This window comes from Homo sapiens, chromosome 10 (assembly GCF_000001405.40).
Source record: "Homo sapiens chromosome 10, GRCh38.p14 Primary Assembly".
Classification (NCBI taxonomy): Eukaryota; Metazoa; Chordata; class Mammalia; order Primates; family Hominidae; genus Homo; species Homo sapiens.
Genome location: NC_000010.11, coordinates 52,215,379 through 52,237,797, shown reverse-complemented (window position 1 = coordinate 52,237,797; position 22,419 = coordinate 52,215,379). Strand labels below are relative to the sequence as shown.

General features: G+C 37.8%; 1 protein-coding gene and 1 long non-coding RNA gene across 5 annotated transcripts in view, besides 1 other annotated feature; one reads left to right on the top strand and one right to left on the bottom strand.

Annotated features, from left to right (window-relative positions):
- PRKG1 (protein kinase cGMP-dependent 1) overlaps nt 1-22,419 on the bottom strand; it is a 1,307,463-nt gene that overhangs the window by 60,553 nt on the left and 1,224,491 nt on the right. The gene's annotated exons all lie outside the window — the stretch shown is intronic.
- The window catches only part of LOC124902425 (uncharacterized), a 56,483-nt gene that overhangs the window by 15,720 nt on the left and 18,344 nt on the right, over nt 1-22,419 (top strand). The gene's annotated exons all lie outside the window — the stretch shown is intronic.
- Nucleotides 3,631-4,228: an enhancer, noted in NCBI's record as "NANOG-H3K27ac-H3K4me1 hESC enhancer chr10:53993330-53993927 (GRCh37/hg19 assembly coordinates)". NCBI's record gives its function as "activates a minimal SCP1, AML or CMV promoter by ChIP-STARR-seq in primed H9 embryonic stem cells {active_cell/tissue: H9 hESC(primed)}" and the evidence as "EXISTENCE:reporter gene assay evidence [ECO:0000049][PMID:30033119]".

Below are 22,419 nucleotides of genomic sequence, written 5' to 3'. Positions count from 1 at the left end.
AGAAAGTCATTGGTAGCTTGATGGGGATGGCATTGAATCTGTAAATTACCTTGGGCAGTATGGCCATTTTCACGATATTGATTCTTCCTACCCATGAGCATGGAATGTTCTTCCATTTGTTTGTATCCTCTTTTATTTCCTTGAGCAGTGGTTTGTAGTTCTCCTTGAAGAGGTCCTTCACATCCTTTGTAAGTTGGATTCCTAGGTATTTTATTCTCTTTGAAGCAATCGTGAATGGGAGTTCACTCATGATTTGGCTCTCTGTTTGTCTGTTGTTGGTGTATAAGAATGCTTGTGATTTTTGTACATTGATTTTGTATCCTGAGACTTTGCTGAAGTTGCTTATCAGCTTAAGGAGATTTTGGGCTGAGACAATGGGGTTTTCTAGATATACAATCATGTCGTCTGCAAACAGGGACAATTTGACTTCCTCTTTTCCTAATTGAATACCCTTTATTTCCTTCTCCTGCCTAATTGCCCTGGCCATAACTTCCAACACTGTGTTGAATAGGAGTGGTGAGAGAGGGCATCCCTGTCTTGTGCCAGTTTTCAAAGGGAATGCTTCCAGTTTTTGCCCATTCAGTATGATATTGGCTGTGGATTTGTCATAGATAGCTCTTATTATTTTGAAATACGTCCCATCAATACCTAATTTATTGAGAGTTTTTAGCATGAAGGGTTGTTGAATTTTGTCAAAGGCTTTTTTCTGCAGCTATTGAGATAATCATGTGGTTTTTGTCTTTGGCTCTGTTTATATGCTGGATTACATTTATTGATTTGTGTATATTGAACCAGCCTTGCATCCCAGGGATGAAGCCCACTTGATCATGGTGGATAAGCTTTTTGATGTGCTGCTGGATTCGGTTTGCCAGTATTTTATTGAGGATTTTTGCATCAATGTTCATCAAGGATATTGGTCTAAAATTCTCTTTTTTGGTTGTGTCTCTGCCCGGCTTTGGTATCAGAATGATGCTGGCCTCATAAAATGAGTTAGGGAGGATTCCCTCTTTTTCTATTGATTGGAATAGTTTCAGAAGGAATGGTACCAGTTCCTCCTTGTACCTCTGGTAGAATTCGGCTGTGAATCCATCTGGTCCTGGACTCTTTTTGGTTGGTAAGCTATTGATTATTGCCACAATTTCAGCTCCTGTTATTGGTCTATTCAGAGATTCAACTTCTTCCTGGTTTAGTCTTGGGAGAGTGTATGTGTCGAGGAATTTATCCATTTCTTCTAGATTTTCTAGTTTATTTGTGTAGAGGTGTTTGTAGTATTCTCTGATGGTAGTTTGTATTTCTGTGGGATCGGTGGTGATATCCCCTTTATCATTTTTTATTGTGTCTATTTGATTCTTCTCTCTTTTTTTCTTTATTAGTCTTGCTAGCGGTCTATCAATTTTGTTGATCCTTTCAAAAAACCAGCTCCTGGATTCATTGATTTTTTGAAGGGTTTTTTGTGTCTCTATTTCCTTCAGTTCTGCTCTGATTTTAGTTATTTCTTGCCTTCTGCTAGCTTTTGAATGTGTTTGTTCTTGCTTTTCTAGTTCTTTTAATTGTGATGTTAGGGTGTCAATTTTGGATCTTTCCTGCTTTCTCTTGTGGGCATTTAGTGCTATAAATTTCCCTCTACACACTGCTTTGAATGCGTCCCAGAGATTCTGGTATGTTGTGTCTTTGTTCTCGTTGGTTTCAAAGAACATCTTTATTTCTGCCTTCATTTCGTTATGTACCCAGTAGTCATTCAGGAGCAGGTTGTTCAGTTTCCATATAGTTGAGCGGCTTTGAGTGAGATTCTTAATCCTGAGTTCTAGTTTGATTGCACTGTGGTCTGAGAGATAGTTTGTTATAATTTCTGTTCTTTTACATTTGCTGAGGAGAGCTTTACTTCCAACTATGTGGTCAATTTTGGAATAGGTGTGGTGTGGTGCTGAAAAAAATGTATATTCTGTTGATTTGGGGTGGAGAGTTCTGCAGATGTCTATTAGGTCCGCTTGGTGCAGAGCTGAGTTCAATTCCTGGGTATCCTTGTTGACTTTCTGTCTCGTTGATCTGTCTAATGTTGACAGTGGGGTGTTAAAGTCTCCCATTATTAATGTGTGGGAGTCTAAGTCTCTTTGTAGGTCACTCAGGACTTGCTTTATGAATCTGGGTGCTCCTGTATTGGGTGCATATATATTTAGGATAGTTAGCTCTTCTTGTTGAATTGATCCCTTTACCATTATGTAATGGCCTTCTTTGTCTCTTTTGATCTTTGTTGGTTTAAAGTCTGTTTTATCAGAAACTAGGATTGCAACCCCTGCCTTTTTTTGTTCTCCATTTGCTTGGTAGATCTTCCTCCATCCTTTTATTTTGAGCCTATGTGTGTCTCTGCACGTGAGATGGGTTTCCTGAATACAGCACACTGATGGGTCTTGACTCTTTATCCAATTTGCCAGTCTGTGTCTTTTAATTGGAGCATTTAGTCCATTTACATTTAAAGTTAATAGTGTTATGTGTGAATTTGATCCTGTCATTATGATGTTTGCTGGTTATTTTGCTCGTTAGTTGATGCAGTTTCTTCCTAGTCTCGACGGTCTTTACATTTTGGCATGATTTTGCAGCGGCTGGTACCGGTTGTTCCTTTCCATGTTTAGCGCTTCCTTCAGGAGCTCTTTTAGGGCAGGCCTGGTGGTGACAAAATCTCTCAGCATTTGCTTGTCTGTAAAGGATTTTATTTCTCCTTCACTTATGAAGCTTAGTTTGGCTGGATATGAAATTCTGGGTTGAAAATTCTTTTCTTTAAGAATGTTGAATATTGGCCCCCACTCTCTTCTGGCTTGTAGGGTTTCTGCCGAAAGATCCGCTGTTAGTCTGATGGGCTTCCCTTTGAGGGTAACCCGACCTTTCTCTCTGGCTGCCCTTAACATTTTTTCCTTCATTTCAACTTTGGTGAATCTGACAATTATGTGTCTTGGAGTTGCTCTTCTCGAGGAGTATCTTTGTGGCGTTCTCTGTATTTCCTGAATCTGAATGTTGGCCTGCCTTGCTAGATTGGGGAAGTTCTCCTGGATAATATCCTGCAGAGTGTTTTCCAACTTGGTTCCATTCTCCCCGTCACTTTCAGGTACACCAATCAGACGTAGATTTGGTCTTTTCACATAGTCCCATATTTCTTGGAGGCTTTGCTCATTTATTTTTATTCTTTTTTCTCTAAACTTCCCTTCTCGCTTCATTTCATTCATTTCATCTTCCATTGCTGATACCCTTTCTTCCAGTTGATCGCATCGGCTCCTCAGGCTTCTGCATTCTTCACGTAGTTCTCGAGCCTTGGTTTTCAGCTCCATCAGCTCCTTTAAGCACTTCTCTGTATTGGTTATTCTAGTTATACATGCTTCTAAATTTTTTTCAAAGTTTTCAACTGCTTTGCCTTTGGTTTGAATGTCCTCCCGTAGCTCAGAGTAATTTGATCGTCTGAAGCCTTCTTCTCTCAGCTCATCAAAGTCATTCTCCATCCAGCTTTGTTCCGTTGCTGGTGAGGAACTGCGTTCCTTTGGAGGAGGAGAGACACTCTGCGTTTTAGAGTTTCCAGTTTTTCTGTTCTGTTTTTTTCCCCATCTTTGTGGTTTTATCTACTTTTGGTCTTTGATGATGGTGATGTACAGATGGGTTTTTGGTGTGGATGTCCTTTCTGTCTGTTAGTTTTCCTTCTAACAGACAGGACCCTCAGCTGCAGGTCTGTTGGAATACCCTGCTGTGTGAGGTGTCAGTGTGCCTCTGCTGGGGGGTGCCTCCCAGTTAGACTGCTCGGGGGTCAGGGGTCAGGGACCCACTTGAGGAGGCAGTCTGCCGGTTCTCAGATCTCCAGCTGCGTGCTGGGAGAACCACTGCTCTCTTCAAAGCTGTCAGGCAGGGACATTTAAGTCTGCAGAGGTTACTGCTGTCTTTTTGTTTGTCTGTGCCCTGCCCCCAGAGGTGGAGCCTACAGTGGCAGGCAGGCCTCCTGGAGCTGTGGTGGGCTCCACCCAGTTCGAGCTTCCCGGCTGCTTTGTTTACCTAAGCAAGCCTGGGCAATGGCGGGCGCCCCTCCCCCAGCCTCGCTGCCGCCTTGCAGTTTGATCTCAGACTGCTGTGCTAGCAATCAGCGAGATTCCGTGGGCATAGGACCCTCCGAGCCAGGTGTGGGATATAGTCTCGTGGTGCGCCGTTTTTTAAGCCGGTCTGAAAAGCGCAATATTCGGGTGGGAGTGACCCGATTTTCCAGGTGCGTCCGTCACCCCTTTCTTTGACTCGGAAAGGGAACTCCCTGACCCCTTGCGCTTCCCAGGTGAGGCAATGCCTCGCCCTGCTTCGGCTCGCGCACGGTGCACGCACCCACTGGCCTGCGCCCACTGTCTGGCACTCCCTAGTGAGATGAACCCGGTACCTCAGATGGAAATGCAGAAATCACCCGTCTTCTGCGTCGCTCACGCTGGGAGCTGTAGACCGGAGCTATTATGACAATTCTTTATGCCATTTAACAGCTGGAGATTTTTTTTCATATTTGACTTCCTTTTTCCCACATAGTTTTCAGATACAGAGTTGAATATTTGGCCACATGCTATTCTCACTACTCTCTCTCTCTCTCTTTTTTTTTTTTTGGCTCCCTTTTCCTCACCTAAGTTATTAAGTTTTGTCTCAAGAGTTAATAACTACCAAATTCACGTGGCCTATGTGAATTAATTGGGTTTTGCAAGGCTTTTTGATAATAGAAGAAACTATATAAAGTGATAGGAGCACTACCTTGACTTGTTGCCTCTCTTTCCCAGTCTTAACAATGGGGATGTTCAATGTCCACTTAATGTTTTCAAAGAACAGACAGTATCTGATTGGATTCTCGGTCTTATTTACCATCCTTTAACTTTGCAGTTATAAACAGACATAGTAGAACTTGCAGATTCACAGGGACAGAAAACCTTTCTTTGACCTCATCATAACAGGAAATTGCTGAACTGGAGGTGGAAGCCTTAGAAACTTGTCCTGAGTGTTGGCACTTGGAGCAGTGTCCAGTGAAGTATGCTAGGAGGAAGTTGAGGGACTTAGTGTGTGAAGCCATAGGGAGGGGTTGTCCCTCCTGAACAGAAGCAGAAGTAGTCACACGGTATCTTCATTTCTGTAGTACTTGTGATATTTGGCCACTCACAAGAAAAACAAAATATGAACCAACCTTAATGTAAATATATGAAATATGGGGCAAACAATTGCAAATTGAGAGAATCTATTTTTAGCAGTAATTGTTCTGTTTTTACTGAACTATAAAGGATATTCTGGTAGTAAAGAAATTATTCAATAGCATATACTATTTGCACAAAGATACCACTTAAGATACATAATACAAAATAGATAATTATCAGTGGAGTTTTGTTTTATATAAAAAAGATACATTGATGTTCTGGAGCCAAAAATTCCACTGCTATATTGAGAATTGTTTTAGAAACAACATTCTTTTTTTTTTGTTTTTTGTTTTTTTGTTTGTTTTCTGTGAGATGGAGTCTAGCTCTGTCGCCCAGGCTGGAGTGTAATGGCGTGATCTCGGCTCACTGCATCCTCCACCTCCCGGGTTCGAGCAATTCTCCTGGCTCAGCCTCCTTGGCAGCTGGGACTACAGGCGCCCACCATCATGCCCGGATAATTTTTGTATTTTTAGTAGAGATGGGGTTTCACCATATTGGCCAGGCTGGTCTCGAACTCCCAACCTCAGGTGATCCGCCAGCCTCAGCCTCCCAAAGTGTAGAAACAACATTCTTACAGGTCTTTCTTGCTAAAGTCTGAAGAATCAAAGCACCAGCAAAGAAAACAAAATGACCCTGATATGACTGAGTTATTTGGCTTGCACTGTTAACTTTTTTCCCCCTAAATTTTGTTCCATCCTATGCATGAAGCTAGAAAAGGTTCAAATCTGTTTCCAATAAGAGAAAGGACTTGAAATAGTTTCATAAATGTTATTGTTAATTTCTAGAGTGTTACTTGCTGATTAGGAAACAAAGATTTAAACAGAAATGAGCAGCAATAAGAATCACTGCAATCTTAGGTTTCAGGCTGCTAACATATATTCTCATGTGCGTTTAGGAAATACATTTGTATACAGGAAGTGGAGTTCTATTACTATCTATCTATTCTTAAATCCAACAGTCTAGAGTATTTGTTCAGAGATAAGACCTTTCTTAGGTAATATAAGGAATGAAATTTGTTACCTAGCGTAATGGTGAATCAAAAGTTTGCTTAATAAGCAAAAGACTCTTCAGTCATTAATCTAAGCCCTAAGTATTACGGAAAGTAAGCTGAATGGGATACTTTCTAGATCTGGAATCTTTTAAACATATTGATAAATATTCTCTCTCTCTCTTTCTCTCTCTCTCTCTCTCTTTCTCTCTTTCTTTCTTCCTAGACAAGATCCAGCTCTATTGCCCAAGCTGGAGTGCAGTGGTGAGATAATGATTCACTGCAGCCTTGATCTCCTGGGCTCAAGCAGTTCTCCTGCCTCAGCCTCCTGAGTAGCTGGGACCACAGGCACCCTCCACCATGTCTGGCCAAAATTTTTTGAATTTTTTGTAGAGACCAGGTTTCACCATGTTGCCCAGGCTGATTTCAAATTCCTGGGCTCAAGTGATCTTCCTGCCTCAGCCTCTCAAAGTGCTGAGATTACAAGTGTGAGCCACCACACCCAGCCAAAATATAAATACGCCTTTAATAGTAACACCTAATTACCTAACACCATCAAAAATGGGGTGCTCCATGAAGAAGCACATAATTCAAATTATTGAAGTTTATCCCTTCTAATGACCACATAGATTTCTCTTGCCCCATTAAAAAATTAGATAATCAGTATTTCTAGGATAGTTGTTTTCTTCCAACCAATTAAGGCATAATCTATGTAGCAGAACATTCAGAGGATGATGCCTGGTCAACATTTGAATAAACAATCACTGTGATGTTACCTCTATTTAAGATGACTCCAATAAAACTTCTATGGTTTGCATTATTAGTTGATCAGACTTTAAGCATTATCTTTTGATAGGGTCAAGGAACCTGTCTTAACTCCCCATCTCTGACCAAAATATACTTGTTTTCTATAAGCTATAAAGCCAGATAGCCAATTTTATGAGAATTGTCCCTATACTATATCCATGTGAGCGATGAGTGCCTGGCATGAAGATGCATAAAGGAGGCAGTAATATACAACAACTGAAGCATAACCTCTGGAGCCAGTCTTCTTCAGACAAATCCCAATTCCATTACTCACTGGCCACCTAAACAAGCTACTTAATTCATCTGCCTCAGTTTTCTTCAACTGTTTAATGGGTATGATCAACAAACCAACTTCAGTGGGTTATCATAAATATTAATAAATGAGAGAATGCATGTGAAACAAAGCTATAAGCAATCATTAGTAATAATAATAAAAGATGATCATTATTTTTCATGGAGTTTTTGCTAGTGCCATGTACTGTTTTGTTAATACTAATTGCCTGATTTTCTGTCCATGAATTTTTGGCTGATCTAAGTTTCCACTTCCCTCACCCCTTGGCTGGGATCTAGGTATGAGAGTTGCTTGGCAAGCAAACTAGAGATAAGTAAGGTGTTACTATATAAAGTTAATGTAGGCACATATGAATATCCAAACATGCCATAATGTTGGGGTTTGACCCTTTCCCTAATACTCAGTTTCTTCATTTGAAATGTTCTAATTGGTGTTTTTATGTTGGTCCTGGTAAACTTTGTTAACTCTTTGTACTTTGCTGTATATTGCAATTTATGCTTTTTTTCACGGTTTAATTTCTGAACCATATTGTATACAATCAGGTACCAGCGAATAAAAGGACCAAACTAAAAATGATGGAATATATAATGAAGGAAGCATGGGATTTCTACAATCTATTCTAGACTCTTTATTAAAAGAAGGGTAGGTGAAGGCTCCCTTTTTGAAATTTAAATTTAATATACTTTTCACAATTCTACTGTCCTCTCAGTAAATATGGAATTTACGAGTCATCACATAGACTAAAGTAAAGCATAAAGTCCTCATGCTGCTTCAGCACAAGACGCTTACCTTCAACTATTCCCTGAGCTTGTAGGAGACAGATGATACATCAATATGCTCTAAGCCACAGTCAGGCAATAGATACAGAATCAGGCAACAGGCATCATAATCCAAAGGCTGGAAATGGCTGAAAATGATTCCTGAGAGGCATTCACAAAGTCTGAGATGTCCTCTCTGAGGACCAACTGTTGCCAAAATCAGAGTTGCCAAGAAGCCACTCAGGGACTCCATCCTGTAGATAGACCCCTCTTCCATTTTCCTGGGGCTTACTCAGTATGACTCACCTCCTCAAAGCCATCATGAGGGTGGTTCATTGGGAAATGGGAAAAGACCTGGCCATGTTCCAGAGGTACAGAGGATATCATTGGTTTCTTCAGTAATATGCAGGTGAAAGCTATGGGTATCTCATGCTGACCAGAAATTTGTAAGTGTACCTTTCAGAAGGGGAAAGCTAAATCTCAGATTTTCTACTTTCTTGCCTTTGGCAAATCATTTTGAATACTCTTTTGATAAAAAGGTCTTTTATAATGTCTTTACCCCTTTGAGTAATGTTTATTGGGGGGACATTCTCAGAGGTAAATTTTGAAAATAAAATAAATAGAAAAGAGAGTAAATCCCTTCTTTATCACTTTTACTGACAAATGACAACAGAAAAAAAAATAGTACATAAAAGATCTAATCTTTAGGCTCCATCAAAGCATATTTGCAACATTTCATCATGTCATGTGAGTTTATTAGCTATGCTGTTAATATGCAATTAATATAACTTGAGGATATGCTATGTCAGTGGAATAAAAACTCATAAAAAGGCTAATGTTTCTGAGACGAACTGACATGATAAGCCATTGGAATTCACTTAGTGCAGGTGTTTCATTGCTATTTATTCCAGCAAATATTATCAACCACCCACTTCTGCCCAGTGATGCAGACCTGAGGATCCTGGTCTGTTTTGCACAGATTCTGACTTGTGTCTTCAGTACTCTAGATATGGGCACACAAGAGCAAGCTAAGACTTGTCAGAAAAAGCTTTGCACTGTGTGTATGATACTATTGTTATTATTATTACAGGTCCATGTGCTCCACTAAAACTGAGCAGCTACTTACGTGCCTGGCACTGTGCCATATCCTTTCATATAATTTCATTTGGTAAAGGGGAGCAGATGTTTGCTCAGGTAAAATGAAACAGGAAACGCATAGAAGAGCATTAAGAACCACTGCGAAAAACTTGTAATATAGGCCTCTCATTCCCAGGCTAAATTTCATCAGTTTACCCAGTGGGGATGAATGGAAAAAAGTAGGTTTCCAAGTGAAAAGATTTTCTCTAAGAGTTTAAGAGCAAGAACCCCCTCTCCTTTAGTTCAGGTCTCCTCCTTCCAGACCAGATTCCTTCTGAGACCAGCAACGCAGTGGCTTAAATCCCTGGATTAGCTGCGACCTCTTCATTTCTTTTTTTTTTTTTCTTTTTACTTCCTGTTGAAAATCCAAATCAGAATATTTTTGGATTTTAAACAAAGTGAATGAAAGTGAGACTATAATGATTATGGTGGTGATGCAGTTGACAATTGCATTACGATGAAAGGTTTTCTTTTTATTCAAGAAAACATCACCAGTGTTCTGACTTCCCCTTAACCTACCCACACTCGACCTTCAAATTTACTTGCCTTTTAAAAATTCCAAATCGTGAGAAATTATGTATCACCTGCTTTAGATTTTCTAAGAGAAAGTGAACATTAGAGTTTTACAGCTAAAACAGACATTAAAGCTATGGCATCGCTAACTTCCTCTGGAAAGGGAAAGAGATCTGAAATTAGAAACACAAATTAAGAAGTAACAAGGAAATTACCACGTTTTCATTGCTTACAAAATGATTTCTCACGCATTACCCAGAGAACGACAATAATAATATAACTGGGCACATGTGCAGTGCAACTTCACCCAGAAGTAGAAAATGTAAAGTTCTATGTTTTGTTGTTAATCTATCATTGCAATGCTATGCTATGGTTTTTGTGCTGCTTATAGAAGATGTTTCTATTATTCATGTCTTTATATTTTACTAAATGCAGTGGGTTCTCATTTCTGAATAGAACATACAGTCATCCCTTGGTAATCATGGGGGACTAGTTCCAGGATCTCCTGTGGATACCAAAATCCACAGATCCTCAAGTCCCTGATATAAAATGGTGTAGTATTTGCATATAGCCTGAGCACATCCTCCCATACACTTTAAATTATCTCTAGATTACTTATAATAACAGATACAATGTAAATGCTTTATTTACAACGTAAATAGTTGTTACATTGCGTTGTTTAGGGAATAATAGAAAGAAAAGTATGTACATGTTCAGCACAAATGCAACTTTTTCTAATATTTTTTATTTGTGGTTGGTTGAATCCAATGATGTGGAACCCAAGGATACAGGGGATTGACTATATTTTTATTCTTTGTAATAAAATAGCACATTATGAAATGCATCACCTCAAGAAAAAAATAATCTTAGATGGTGCCACTGTTAGTCAGGTAAGCAACATTTCCTTATTTTTCCAGAGATAGAACTAAAAACCTTAAAAATAATGTGATGGGAATTTGGAAATAGCTTCTTCTATCTTTATGCTGCTTTCATATACTGTCTTGCTTTGATTATGATAATTCATTAATTAAAATACATCAAACAACACCTCATTCCTGTTGAACTGCTTCAAGGACCAGATGTTAAAATTCTCCAATTACATTTTTATTCCACTGATAACATGTGTCATTGACAGAATATAAGATCTCTTGCAATTTAGGATTTTCTATTTGCCTATTTCACTGTAATATTGGATGGAATCTATGGATATTTAATAGCATCTGCACATTTTCAAAGGAATTCAGGAATAAATCTTAGGTTCCTTTGGTGATTATGACTGACATGTTGACCCTATTCACAAAAGTTTTCCATATTTTTTTTTCCATGGATTTTGACCTGTTCCTTTGTGATATATACAAGATACCTAATAGTCCTGAAGGAATATAAAGATTTTTCCTACTCTGGAGTCTCTGGGAAATGAAAATGGCATTCACTGTGCATCTTGTGATCAGGAGCTCAGCCATCTCTGCAAATGACTCACAGCCCTGAGGATGCTTGGGGCAGGTTTGGCCTATTGTATGTCTGGTTATGACACACATTTTTCAGCCATTATTTTTCAGCATGGAAATACGATTTTAATTGACTAAAACAACAAAGTACATTTTCAAAGTTGGTAAAACATCACCTTTGCTCTGCATGTTTTATAATAAAAACCAAGTGGCTAAAGGTGACAGCAATTATTCTCAGCTTAATAACAGAATAATCCTGCTGTGAGGGACAAACTATGATTCCAGGGAACTTCTGTAATCTTTTTAGTGTTTATCAATCTAACTAACTCTCTTGAGACTGGTAAATCATGCAAGTCAGTTATGCTAACAGGCATTTCATAGACTGTGGTAAATAACTTGAACCAACTAAGACAAGGTAAAATAAAAACCCTTGAAATTATTTTGAACATTTTAAGTAATCTGAGTTTTGTAATCAAAACAGTATTCAAATTGTCTATGTTTTCAGCAGAATCAGGCAGTTTTATGATATCATGAAGTACTTTTAGCAAATTGCCAATAAAAATAAGCATATGCCAGGCACTGTTATAGATGCTGGCTGAGGATGGAACAGTGGACAAAACAGACCAAAAAAAAAAAAAAAAATCAACCCTCATGACTTACATGCTAGTGGAGGAGACAAAGAAACAAATTAAATATAGTATATTAAATGTGGTAAGTGCTGTGGAGAAAAATTAGGCAAGAAAGTGGTACTAGGCCTGATTTCAAACTACATTATAAGGCCACAGTGACCAAAACAGTGTGGTACTGGCACAAAAAAAGGCACATAGACCAATGGAACAGAATGGAGAGCCCAGAAATAAACCCAAATTCTTACATTCAACTGATCTTCAAGAAAGCAAACAAAAAGATAAAGTGGGGAAAGGACATCCTTTTCAACAAATGGTGCTGGGATGATTGGCTAGCCACATGTAGGAGAATGAAACTAGATCCTCATCTCTCACCTTAAACAAAAATCAACTCAAGATGGATTAAGGGCTTAAACCTAAGACCTGAAACTACTGAAATTCTAGAAGAAACATTGGAAAAACCCTTCTAGACATTGGCTTAGGCAAGGATTTCATGGCCAAGGACCCAAAAGCAAATGCAATAAAAACAAAGATAAATAGCTGAGACCTAATTAAACTAAAGATCATTTTTGCATGGCAAAAGGAACAGTCAGCAGAGTAAACAGATAACCTACAGAGTGGGAGAAAATCTTCAAAATCTATACATCTGACAAAGGACTAATATCCAGAATCTACAACAAACTCAAACACATCAGTAAGAAATAAAACGAACAAGCCTATCAAAAAGTGGGCTAAGAATATGAATACACAATTCTCAAAAGAAGATATACAAATGGGCAACAAACATATGAAAACATACTCAACATCACTAATGATCAGGGAAATGCAAATCAAAACCACAATGCAATACCACCTTACTCCTGCAAGAATAGCCATAATCAAAAAAATCAAAAAACAGTAGATGTTGGCATGGATGTGCTGAACAGGGGACACTTACACTGTTGGTGGGAATGTAGACTAGTACGGCCACTATGGAAAACAGGGTGGAGATTCCTTAAAGAACTAAAAGTAGAACTACAATTTGTTCCAGCAATCCAACTACTGGATATCTAACCAGAGGAAAAGAAGTCATTACTTGAAAAAGATACTTACACACACATGTTTATAGCAGCACAATTCATAATTGCAAAATAATGGAACCAACCCAAATGCCCATCAATCAATGAGTGGATAAAGAAACTGTGAGATATGTATGTATGTATGTATATATATATATATATATATATATATATATGATGGAATACTATGCAGCCATAAAAAGGAGTGACTTAACAGCATTTGTAGTAACCTGGATGAGATTGGAGGCTATTATTGTAAGTGAAGTAACTCAGGAATGGAAAATCAAACATCATATGTTCTCACTGATATGTGGGAGCTAAGCTATGAGGACACAAAGGCATAAGAATGATACAATGGACTTTGGGGACTTGGGGGGAAGAGTCGGAGGTGGGGCGAAGGATAGACTACAAATATGGTGAAGTGTATACTGCTTGGGTGATGGGTACACCAAAATCTCACAAATCACCACTAAAAAACTTACTTATGTAACCAAATACCACCTGAACCTCAGTAACCTATGGAAAAATTAAAAATATATATAAAATTAAACAAATAAAGGGTACTAGGGAGTGTGGGAACAAAAACCAGAGGGCTGCAATTTTAGTTTAAGAGATTAGAGAAGGTCCAATTGAGAAGGAGATGGACGAGTGAGCCCTGTGGGATCTGAGGATGGAGTATTCTGGGTAGAGAAAACAGAAACTGCAGTTGCTCTGGAGCAGAAGTCTGTCTGATATGTGTTACAATTAGCAAGACAGTTATAGTGGCTGGAACAGTCTCCTCTGAAGGCAGAGGAGAAGAGGAAGCAATGAGATGGGACGCAAGGTGGAGAAAGGGGTGCAAGTTGTCTGGGGCCTTGTAGACCATTGTAAAGATTTGCCTTTTATTCTGAAAAAGGAGCCTCTGGAGAGCTCTGAGCAGTTGGTTTTGTCCTCTAATTTATATTATAAAATACCTGCAAGGTTGAAAACAGGCAATAGGAAGGCAAAGGCAGAAATATGAAGATAAGTCAGAAGTCATTGCAATAATCCAGGCAAAAGATGTGGCCTAGACTGCAGTGTTAATGCCAAGAGGTTGGTTTTGGATACATTTTTAAGGTAGAATTAATGTGATTTGCTGTTGGACCAAGATACGATGTGAGTGAAAGAAAAAAGAAAAGGATGATTCTGAAATTTTGAGCCTCATGAATGGGAAGGATGGAGTTCTTTTTAGTAAAATAGGGAAAATTGTAAGAGGAACAGGCTTAGAGAAAAAGTAGTTCAGTTTTGATATTTTAGGGTGATGTGTATGATTTGTCCAAGTGGATTTTTCAAATAGGTTGCTAGATGTCTGAAGTTGAAAAGATAAATCCAGGCTGGAAACGTAAATCTGGAATTTGTCAGCATGTAGAGCGTATCGAAAGCTGTGAGACTACCTGAAGATCACCAAGGATGAAAGGATAGATAGAGAAGAGAGGAGATCAAGGATTGAGTTGTGAAGCATGCCGACATAGAACTATTGGAAGTGCTCAGGACCAACCAACCAAAGTAGCAGAGATGGAACAGCTAATGGGAAAGAAAGAAAACTAGGAGAATATGGGGTTCTAGTACCCAAGTGAAGAAAATGTCTCAAGGAGGAAGAGTGGTCAACTGTGTCAATAATTACAGATAGTTCAAGTAAGACGTGATAATCAAAACTTGAATTTCAGAAGTCGGAGGTCACTAGTGACCTTGGTAGAGCAGTATGGATAAAAGCTCCGGGAGAGGATGGGAGGTGAGGAATTGGAAATGCTATGTTTATATGTATTTCAAGAAATTTTCTTAAATGGGAACAAAGAACTGGATTAGCAGTCAAAGCAGGGATATGGAGATAAAGTGTTTTTGTTTGTTTGGTTGGTAGGTTGGTTTTTAAAGATTGGAGCGAGGAAAATATTCACATAAAAGAGAAAAGAATTTCTAGGGTGATGCCCTGAAGTAAGAGAAAGGGGATATGAGCTGGTACACAGTGAAATGTTAGTGTAGGTCAAACCAGTGATAAGCCAATATGGCTATCAGTAAAAGTCAAATGTTCCAAAAGAATGACAAACTGGGTTAGCCTATAGGACAGGTAAGAGTTTTTATACACCTGGGATGATATAAAGGTAAGGCAAAGTTGGGATAACATCAAGTATTACTACAAGGCAATATGTTTTCCTATCAACAGCACCACCAAACACAAACAGCTGTTTTATCTAACGACTGCATAATATGTGGTAGGCATTATTCTAAGTTTTTTATACTTATTGTCATTTAATTGTTACAAGAAATGACTACATCCCCCAGGGGAAAACTGAGTCACAGACAATTTACTAACTTTCCAAGGTCACATGATTTGTAAGGAGTTGTACTGGGTTTTATATGCAGGCAGACTGACTCTGAAACCTGTGCTAAACCACAATCTGATTCTCACCTATCCATCTCTTTATACATTCATCTACATATCTATCTAGAAAATCCCATATTCTCACTCCTGGTTGGGGTTTCCAATGGTGAAGAATTGCATTGAGAAACATTCATCAGAAAATGAAAGACTGTAAAATACAAAATACCATGAATCTAGGCAGAAATTCATGTCATTATAGTAGGCTTGGAGTTTAGGGATCAATTACAGATTGACTTTTTGGTTCCCATGCATTATTGGAAGACTAAAAACCATCCCTCTCTGGACCCCCATTCTGCTCAGAATATACTTGTGCAGCAGCAAACAGCAGGAGAGGGGCAGAAGCAGGCTAATGTTTCACACGTGCTCCCATGGGTGAACTACTCTGATGGCTTAAAAGGGGTCACCCCTGCTGGTGTCATCAAAGGGACGGGAGTCTTCAAAGGGATGACTCTAAGGGAACATCAAGGAGTGTTTACCGGAAGCAAGGCCTCCTTACCCACTCACCCAATTCCCCTGACTCTGGGAGAAGGAGGAGCAGCTGGTGACCTAATACACTCATCTCCACCCTTACCGACTCCAAAGCCCAACATAAATCAATGATATTTACCCATCATCTATGCAAACCTTTTTCATCAACACCTAACCACCTCTGCTTCAGTTTTATTTCTTCAGTTTTCTGAAAGCACTTAATCCAATAGCCCAAATATCTCCCTTAATTTTTAGTGTTTGCTAGCTTTTTACTAACAAATAAGGCTAAAAGCACCTTGCATTAAGAAACTGTCTTATTTTGCATTTGTTACAATATTTAGAAATATTAAGCCTGTAGCACACATGCAGTTGATTTCTAAGTCTTGTTTTAGATCAACTTATCATCTTGTTTGTGTATGTAAAACAAGTAAAAAATATCTGATGTTATAGCTCCTCATTTATTGATTTAATTTTTTCACTGACAGTGAATATTCATATGAATTCTTGGATTACTTTAAAATAAATATGACTTAACACCTAGTTCATATTCTGGTTTTCTTTTAAAAATAACATTAATAAAGTTTATATTTGAGGCTTCATATGCAAAAAATTAAGTACCATGAAATATGGAGTGTGCAAATATTCTTAACTTTCATATTAAGTAGTAAAAAAACCCTAAGTTTTTAAAAAGACGTGTTGACTTAGTTTTTAAAATAAAACTCATTGTAACATTTATTCAGCTCATTTTCTACATTAAATTTTAACAGAGGTTATATATTATTGATCTAAGGCTGCATAACAAATTATCTCAAGATATATTGCCTTAAAACAACAATAAACATTTATTATGTTATGGCTTCTGTGAGGCAAGAATCGGGAGTAATTCAGCTGGGCAGTTCTGTCTTAGCCCATCAAGATGACATTTCTGTACATGCGGCCAACAATCATATGAAAAAAAAGCTCAGCATTATTGATGATTAGAGAAATGCAAATCATAACCACAATGAGATACTCATACCAGTCAGAATGGCTATTTTTAAAAAGTCAAAAAAATAACAGATGCGGGTGGGGTTGTGGAGAAACAGGAATGCTTATACACTGTTGGTGGGAGTGTAAATTAGTTCAGCCATTGAGGAAAGCAGTGTGGTGATTCCTCAAACACCTAAAAACAGAAATATCATTCAATCCAGCAACACCCAAAGGAATGTAAATCATTGTATTATAAAGACACATGTATACAGATGTTCATTGCAGCACTATTCGCAATAGCAAAGACATGGAACCAACCTAAATGCCCATCAACGGTATACTGGATAAAGAAAATGTGGTATATATATACCATGGAATACTATACGGTCATAAAAATAATGAAATCCTGTCCTCTGCAGGAACATGGGTGGAGGTGGAGGCCATTATCCTTAGCAAACTCACACAGAAACAGAAAGCCAAATACTGCATGTTCTCACTTATAAGTGGGAGCTAAATGATGAGAATACATAGACACATAGAGGGGAACAACACACACTGGGGCCTATTGGAGGGTGGAGGGTAGGGAGAGGGAGAGAATCAGGAAAAAGAACTAATGGGGTATTATGCTTAATATCTGGGTGACAAAATAATCTGTACGACATACCCCCATGACACAAGTTTACCTATATACAAATCTGCACATGCACCCCTGAACTTACATATATATATATATATAAAAGATGTCATCTCTGCAGATATGAAGCCTGACTAGAATTGAAGCTGCAGTTCCAAGATGTCCCACTCACATAGTTGGCAAGCTGGTGCTAGTTGTTAGGAGAAGGGCCCACTTCCTCCCCATGTGAACTTTTCCTTAATTTGCCTAAGTGTCTTCATGATAGGGTGACTGGCTTTCCCAGAAAGCAAACAACCTCAGGGAATAAGGCAGAGGACACAACATCTTCATAATGTAGCCTCAGTTGTCATACTTCAATCCTACTCACTGTATTCTGAATGTCACTGGGGCCACACTCTAGGAGACCCTGAAGACTAGACAGAGGCTTCTTGACTTTGTTCTACAGTTAAGGGAAAGTAATGTCACTTTTTAAAAATATGGGATATTGGAAAGGATCTCATTAAAATGGAGTGTGTTTTGCTTATTTATTTACAGAGGCAAATATGATGTTCACAGAAACCTCAAGATGAATGACCTACCAACTTTTAATCTTTCTTTCTAAAAGAATTTATTAAATTACTTTAGAAAAATAAATGAGAAATGTATGTTTATTTTTTCTCCCCACCTCTTTCATTTGCAATATTTAAAGGCCTATGGCATAGTTTGCTCTTGGCAGGATAATTATAAATATGCCCAGTGTTTGGTAGCAAAAAGGGTAAGAAGGAATTATTATTTTGCCCTCAGTATTTATATGTAAATTCACTTGGGTGATTAACAATAAATAACAAGAGGATGAGTGATTGTCAGCTAATTGTTAGTTATTCAACACATTGTTAGCCAGTATGGGGGTTATTTAATTTCTTCCCAACTACATCTCCTTCTTTCCAACAGTTTACTTGAGGCACTTTGTTGTTTGTTATTAGGCACTGAGAAAAAATCAGTCGGTTTAGTAGTTTGTTAGCAACCATGGATAAAAGCTTATTGGAGGAGAATAATAAATGAATATGCAAAGTGAGATGTTGGGATTGTTTGTTATTAATATTTATATCCTACCTCATTGGTTCTGCCTGATCCTATTCTAGATTATCAGTGAAGGCATCTTAGACTCAAAGGATTACTGGACTCTTATGCAGAGAGTTTGTAATCTGAAGGAAAATACACTATAATTACATTTTCTAATTAGCTAAATTATTGTCATTCTTTTCAGCTAATTTCTTTATTTTATTTTCCTATGACTTTTCTAATTCTCATAAGCTTGTAAATAGTTGCACATGACTAATTAAAGCCTCCCAGCTCAAAATCTATTCATCCTAGTACGTAAATGTTTTATGACCCACTTACATCTAGTGTGAACATAGGAAAAAAGTATTCCTTACAGAAGTGCTCACCATGAAAACAAAAAAGTCCCACAAGGGAATGTACTTCTTTCTTTGTTTTTCCTTTTTAAATTGTGTTTCATTTTTAAATAAATATGCTATCATTTGCCTTTTATCTTCAGCTTATCTAACTACTGTTGAATTTAGCTTTGGTTCAACACAGAAACTGGTCATAATATTCTCTTATATTTTGTTTCAGAAAAATTATTAACATTATATTATGGTTAAACAGTTTAGTTTAAAATATTAATTAATGAAGATAAGACTCATAAACACTAATTTCATTTCATGGGAGGCCCTGAAAACATTAATGGCTCTTTTGCTCATCAAACACTTTGAAGGTATCAAAAGGGAAATTTACCTTGAAAAAGTATCCTAATCCCTATAAATTTTTAATTTAAGAATCCAGAATAAACACTGATTTTTGCAACACAATTTTCTAAAGTAATGAGTGTAGAATTTATATAATTTTTAAAAGTCTAAATTGTTTAGAAGTTAAGACTTCTATTCAGGTTGGAGAATACTGCCTTGGCTGTTGTGAACCAAAATTTTGTATTGCGACTATTCATACAGTTGGGTAAGTTTATGTTGAATCAAAAAGAAATTGGGTCATACTTGATAAGGTTTTAAAATATCTTTTTTAACCAGAAGCCTAAAAACATTTAATAATTTCTGCTTGTCCCTTCTGTTGTCATCTAATTGCTTTTTATGAGAATTTCTTGGATTCTGTCTCTCTATATGGCCTTGTGCTTGCTACCTCAATGCCAGGCAAAAGAGCAGCCCCTTTGATGGATGTCAGCTGTTAAGACGCCTTAGTTCATTCTGTTTTTACCCACTCCCCCAAAACCAAAAAAAAAACTGTAACCTATTTTTCTTTTTTTTTTTTTTTTGAGATGGAGTCTCGCTTTGTCACCCAGGCTAGCGTGCAGTGGGTGATCTAGGCTCACTGTAACCTCTGCCTCCCAGGTTCAGGTGATTTTCCTGCCTCAGCCTCCTGAGTAGCTGGGATTACAGACGTGTGCCACCACGCCCAGCTAATTTTTGTATTTTTAGTAGAGACAGGGTTTCACCATGTTGGTCAGGCTGGTCTTGAACTCCTGACCTTGTGAACCACCTGCCTCGGCCTCCCAAAGTGCTGAGATTACAGGTGTGAGCCACGGCTCCCAGCTGTAAGCTATTTTTCTAAACCATTAATTTCCTAAGAGAAGCCATTGGAATGAGAGATAAAATAGGAGTTTCATTTATTATGCAAATTATAAGTAGAGAGTAACGGAGGAAGGAAAAGAAAGGCTAGCCACAGTGTCATTATTAAAATATCCTTTGTGATGATGTCTATACTACCAACAGGGCTGAGGTCTGATTTATCTCCCAGCTAGTACATTTGCATCAGTTGCCCAAGCCACCAATGAAACTTGTTTCCATTGTCTCCTATCCAGTAGGAGACAGCACATTTGTCAACCCATTGTATATTGTTTAATCCTTGCTATTTGAGTAACTGTAAACCTGGGTTAATGCTTGCTTGTAGTTTCTATTATTCCATATTGAATAATTAAATCTAAATCTCTCTATGTACCATTTGAAGACAGGGTGAAAATATTGTTTGACGGTAGGGTGTACTAAAATTAGAGTGATGTGGTTTGCTTTAGTTCCTAGACTATGAGATTCATTTGACACTAATCTAAAAAAGAGAGAACTCTACTTATACATATATAAGTGTGTGTGTGTGTATATGTGTATATATATATATAGATAGATAGATATATAAATGTGTACGTGTGTGTGTATATGTATATTTACCCCGCACATCTCTCAGGATAACTCTAGCCTCTCCCAGGATATGTACTTATTCCTCCCCAATTAAAAATAAACACAACAAAAGGAAGTAGGATAAACTTACTCCTTAGTAGGCTTACAACTAAGAGGTGGAAGGAGGCAAGGTCAGAAGAGCCTTGGGTGCTATTTTGGAAGAAAGGGAAACAGGGCCTACTTAACCACCCTTCCATGACCTGTGGTTTGAGAAACACAGCTCTGAACAGTTCCCACACAACAGCTGTTTTTCCGCATCACCATCAGACAGGAAGTGGAATGGCACATAGAATGCAATTTATAGGATCTGTTCTCTCAGAAAGTGAAACAGGATCTCCAGGCTATTAAATTCACGGTGGTGCAGGAGCTGAACTCACTTATTAAACAGAATTGTCTGCCTAGTAAAAGAAAGCTTCCATTTGTGAAAAACTAAAAAGTTTTCAGAAGTATTATGCAAATAGTTAAGCAGTCACTGGGTTTAAACAAAACTTATTTTTAAAATTTAGAGACATTTTGATCCATTTAATTCTCAGAAAAAGATAACAAACTGATCTTAAAAAACCGCACCAAAACCTATGACTGTATAAAAACCAAAGGCTCTATTCCCTCTAGGACCATGCAAGAAATGGCATCAGAAATTCCAGCCACATTTAAAATAGGAATCAAAATCTATCTACAATGCTCTGCAGACCTGGCTGTATTAACTGCATCTAATTCTGGGGCTAAGCTAATACTAAAAGGTAAAGATGAGAAAATAGGTAATGTCCATTTTAATAAACAGGTATTTTTCTATTTTGGATGTTCCATCTAACTCTGACTATTCAATTAAAGTCTTATTGTCAAAACTCTTTGCTCTGCCAGTGTGATTTGATTTTGAGTCTCTTGCAAAATCCATGTGCAATTATTTCCCTGGCATTCCGGTAGCTATCTGCTGGTTTCCCAAAAGATCCCCAGCCCAGGAGCCTGTTGACTGAAGTGATACCTCTCCCAGAGTGAGAAGCTTAGTGTCACTTGTGTTCCATGCATAATTTTTTTGATTGAAATGAAAATTTAAGCTTCCATGCTGTGCTTGGCAATCCTTGTTTAAGAAGTGTCTAAGAAGAGTATATTCAAGAATGATCAAAAGAACCATCTGTAGTCCAAACCAATAGCTCCTTTGCATTCTTGGAAGCAGTCTGAAGAATCTCCCAAGTCTGCTAGCTCTCTTCTTACTTCAGTAAATTTATGAGAAAGTAATAGCCTCAGGGTCTCTGGGTGTACAGTTTGCTTGTTTCCTTTGCCATTGTCTCCTTAGCCACTTTATGTTTCTTGAACAATTCTATGAGGATGAGTATATTCTCCAGATGGCCACTGGAGGGCACAAAAGTACAATGTTTGCCTTCAAGTTAGGCCTTTGTGGTTTTGTTCTTCATGTGAAACATAATCTATGCTTAAGATATTCAATTAGATATGACATTTTCACTTTTAGAGCACAACTAGTAAATATCTACCTTATCATCTACCTCTTGTCAGTTATATTCTGAATGAGATCAAAACCAAAAGTTATGTTTCTAACATTACTATTATAAAAATGTATATTAATATATTTTCATTCCTTTCACCTTTCATATTTTAAAGTTATCCATCCAAATTCATGATTTGAAATTTTCACAAGGAAATTGTTTCACTTTGAAACATGTATGAATGTATGAATACCACCAAAGTGTATTCAGACATCTTCCCATGGGGAAAAGAGAAAATATTGAGGTGATATTGAAAAGTACACTGACCTGAGATGCACAAAAGAAAATACTTTTATTTTCTTGTTGCTTTAACTATCTAAATGCCTGTATATCTCGCTTTATAGCATAGAATGCTTATAGCAAGTCAGCTTCAAAATATACTTTTTTTTTTTTTTTTTGAGATGGAGTTTTGCT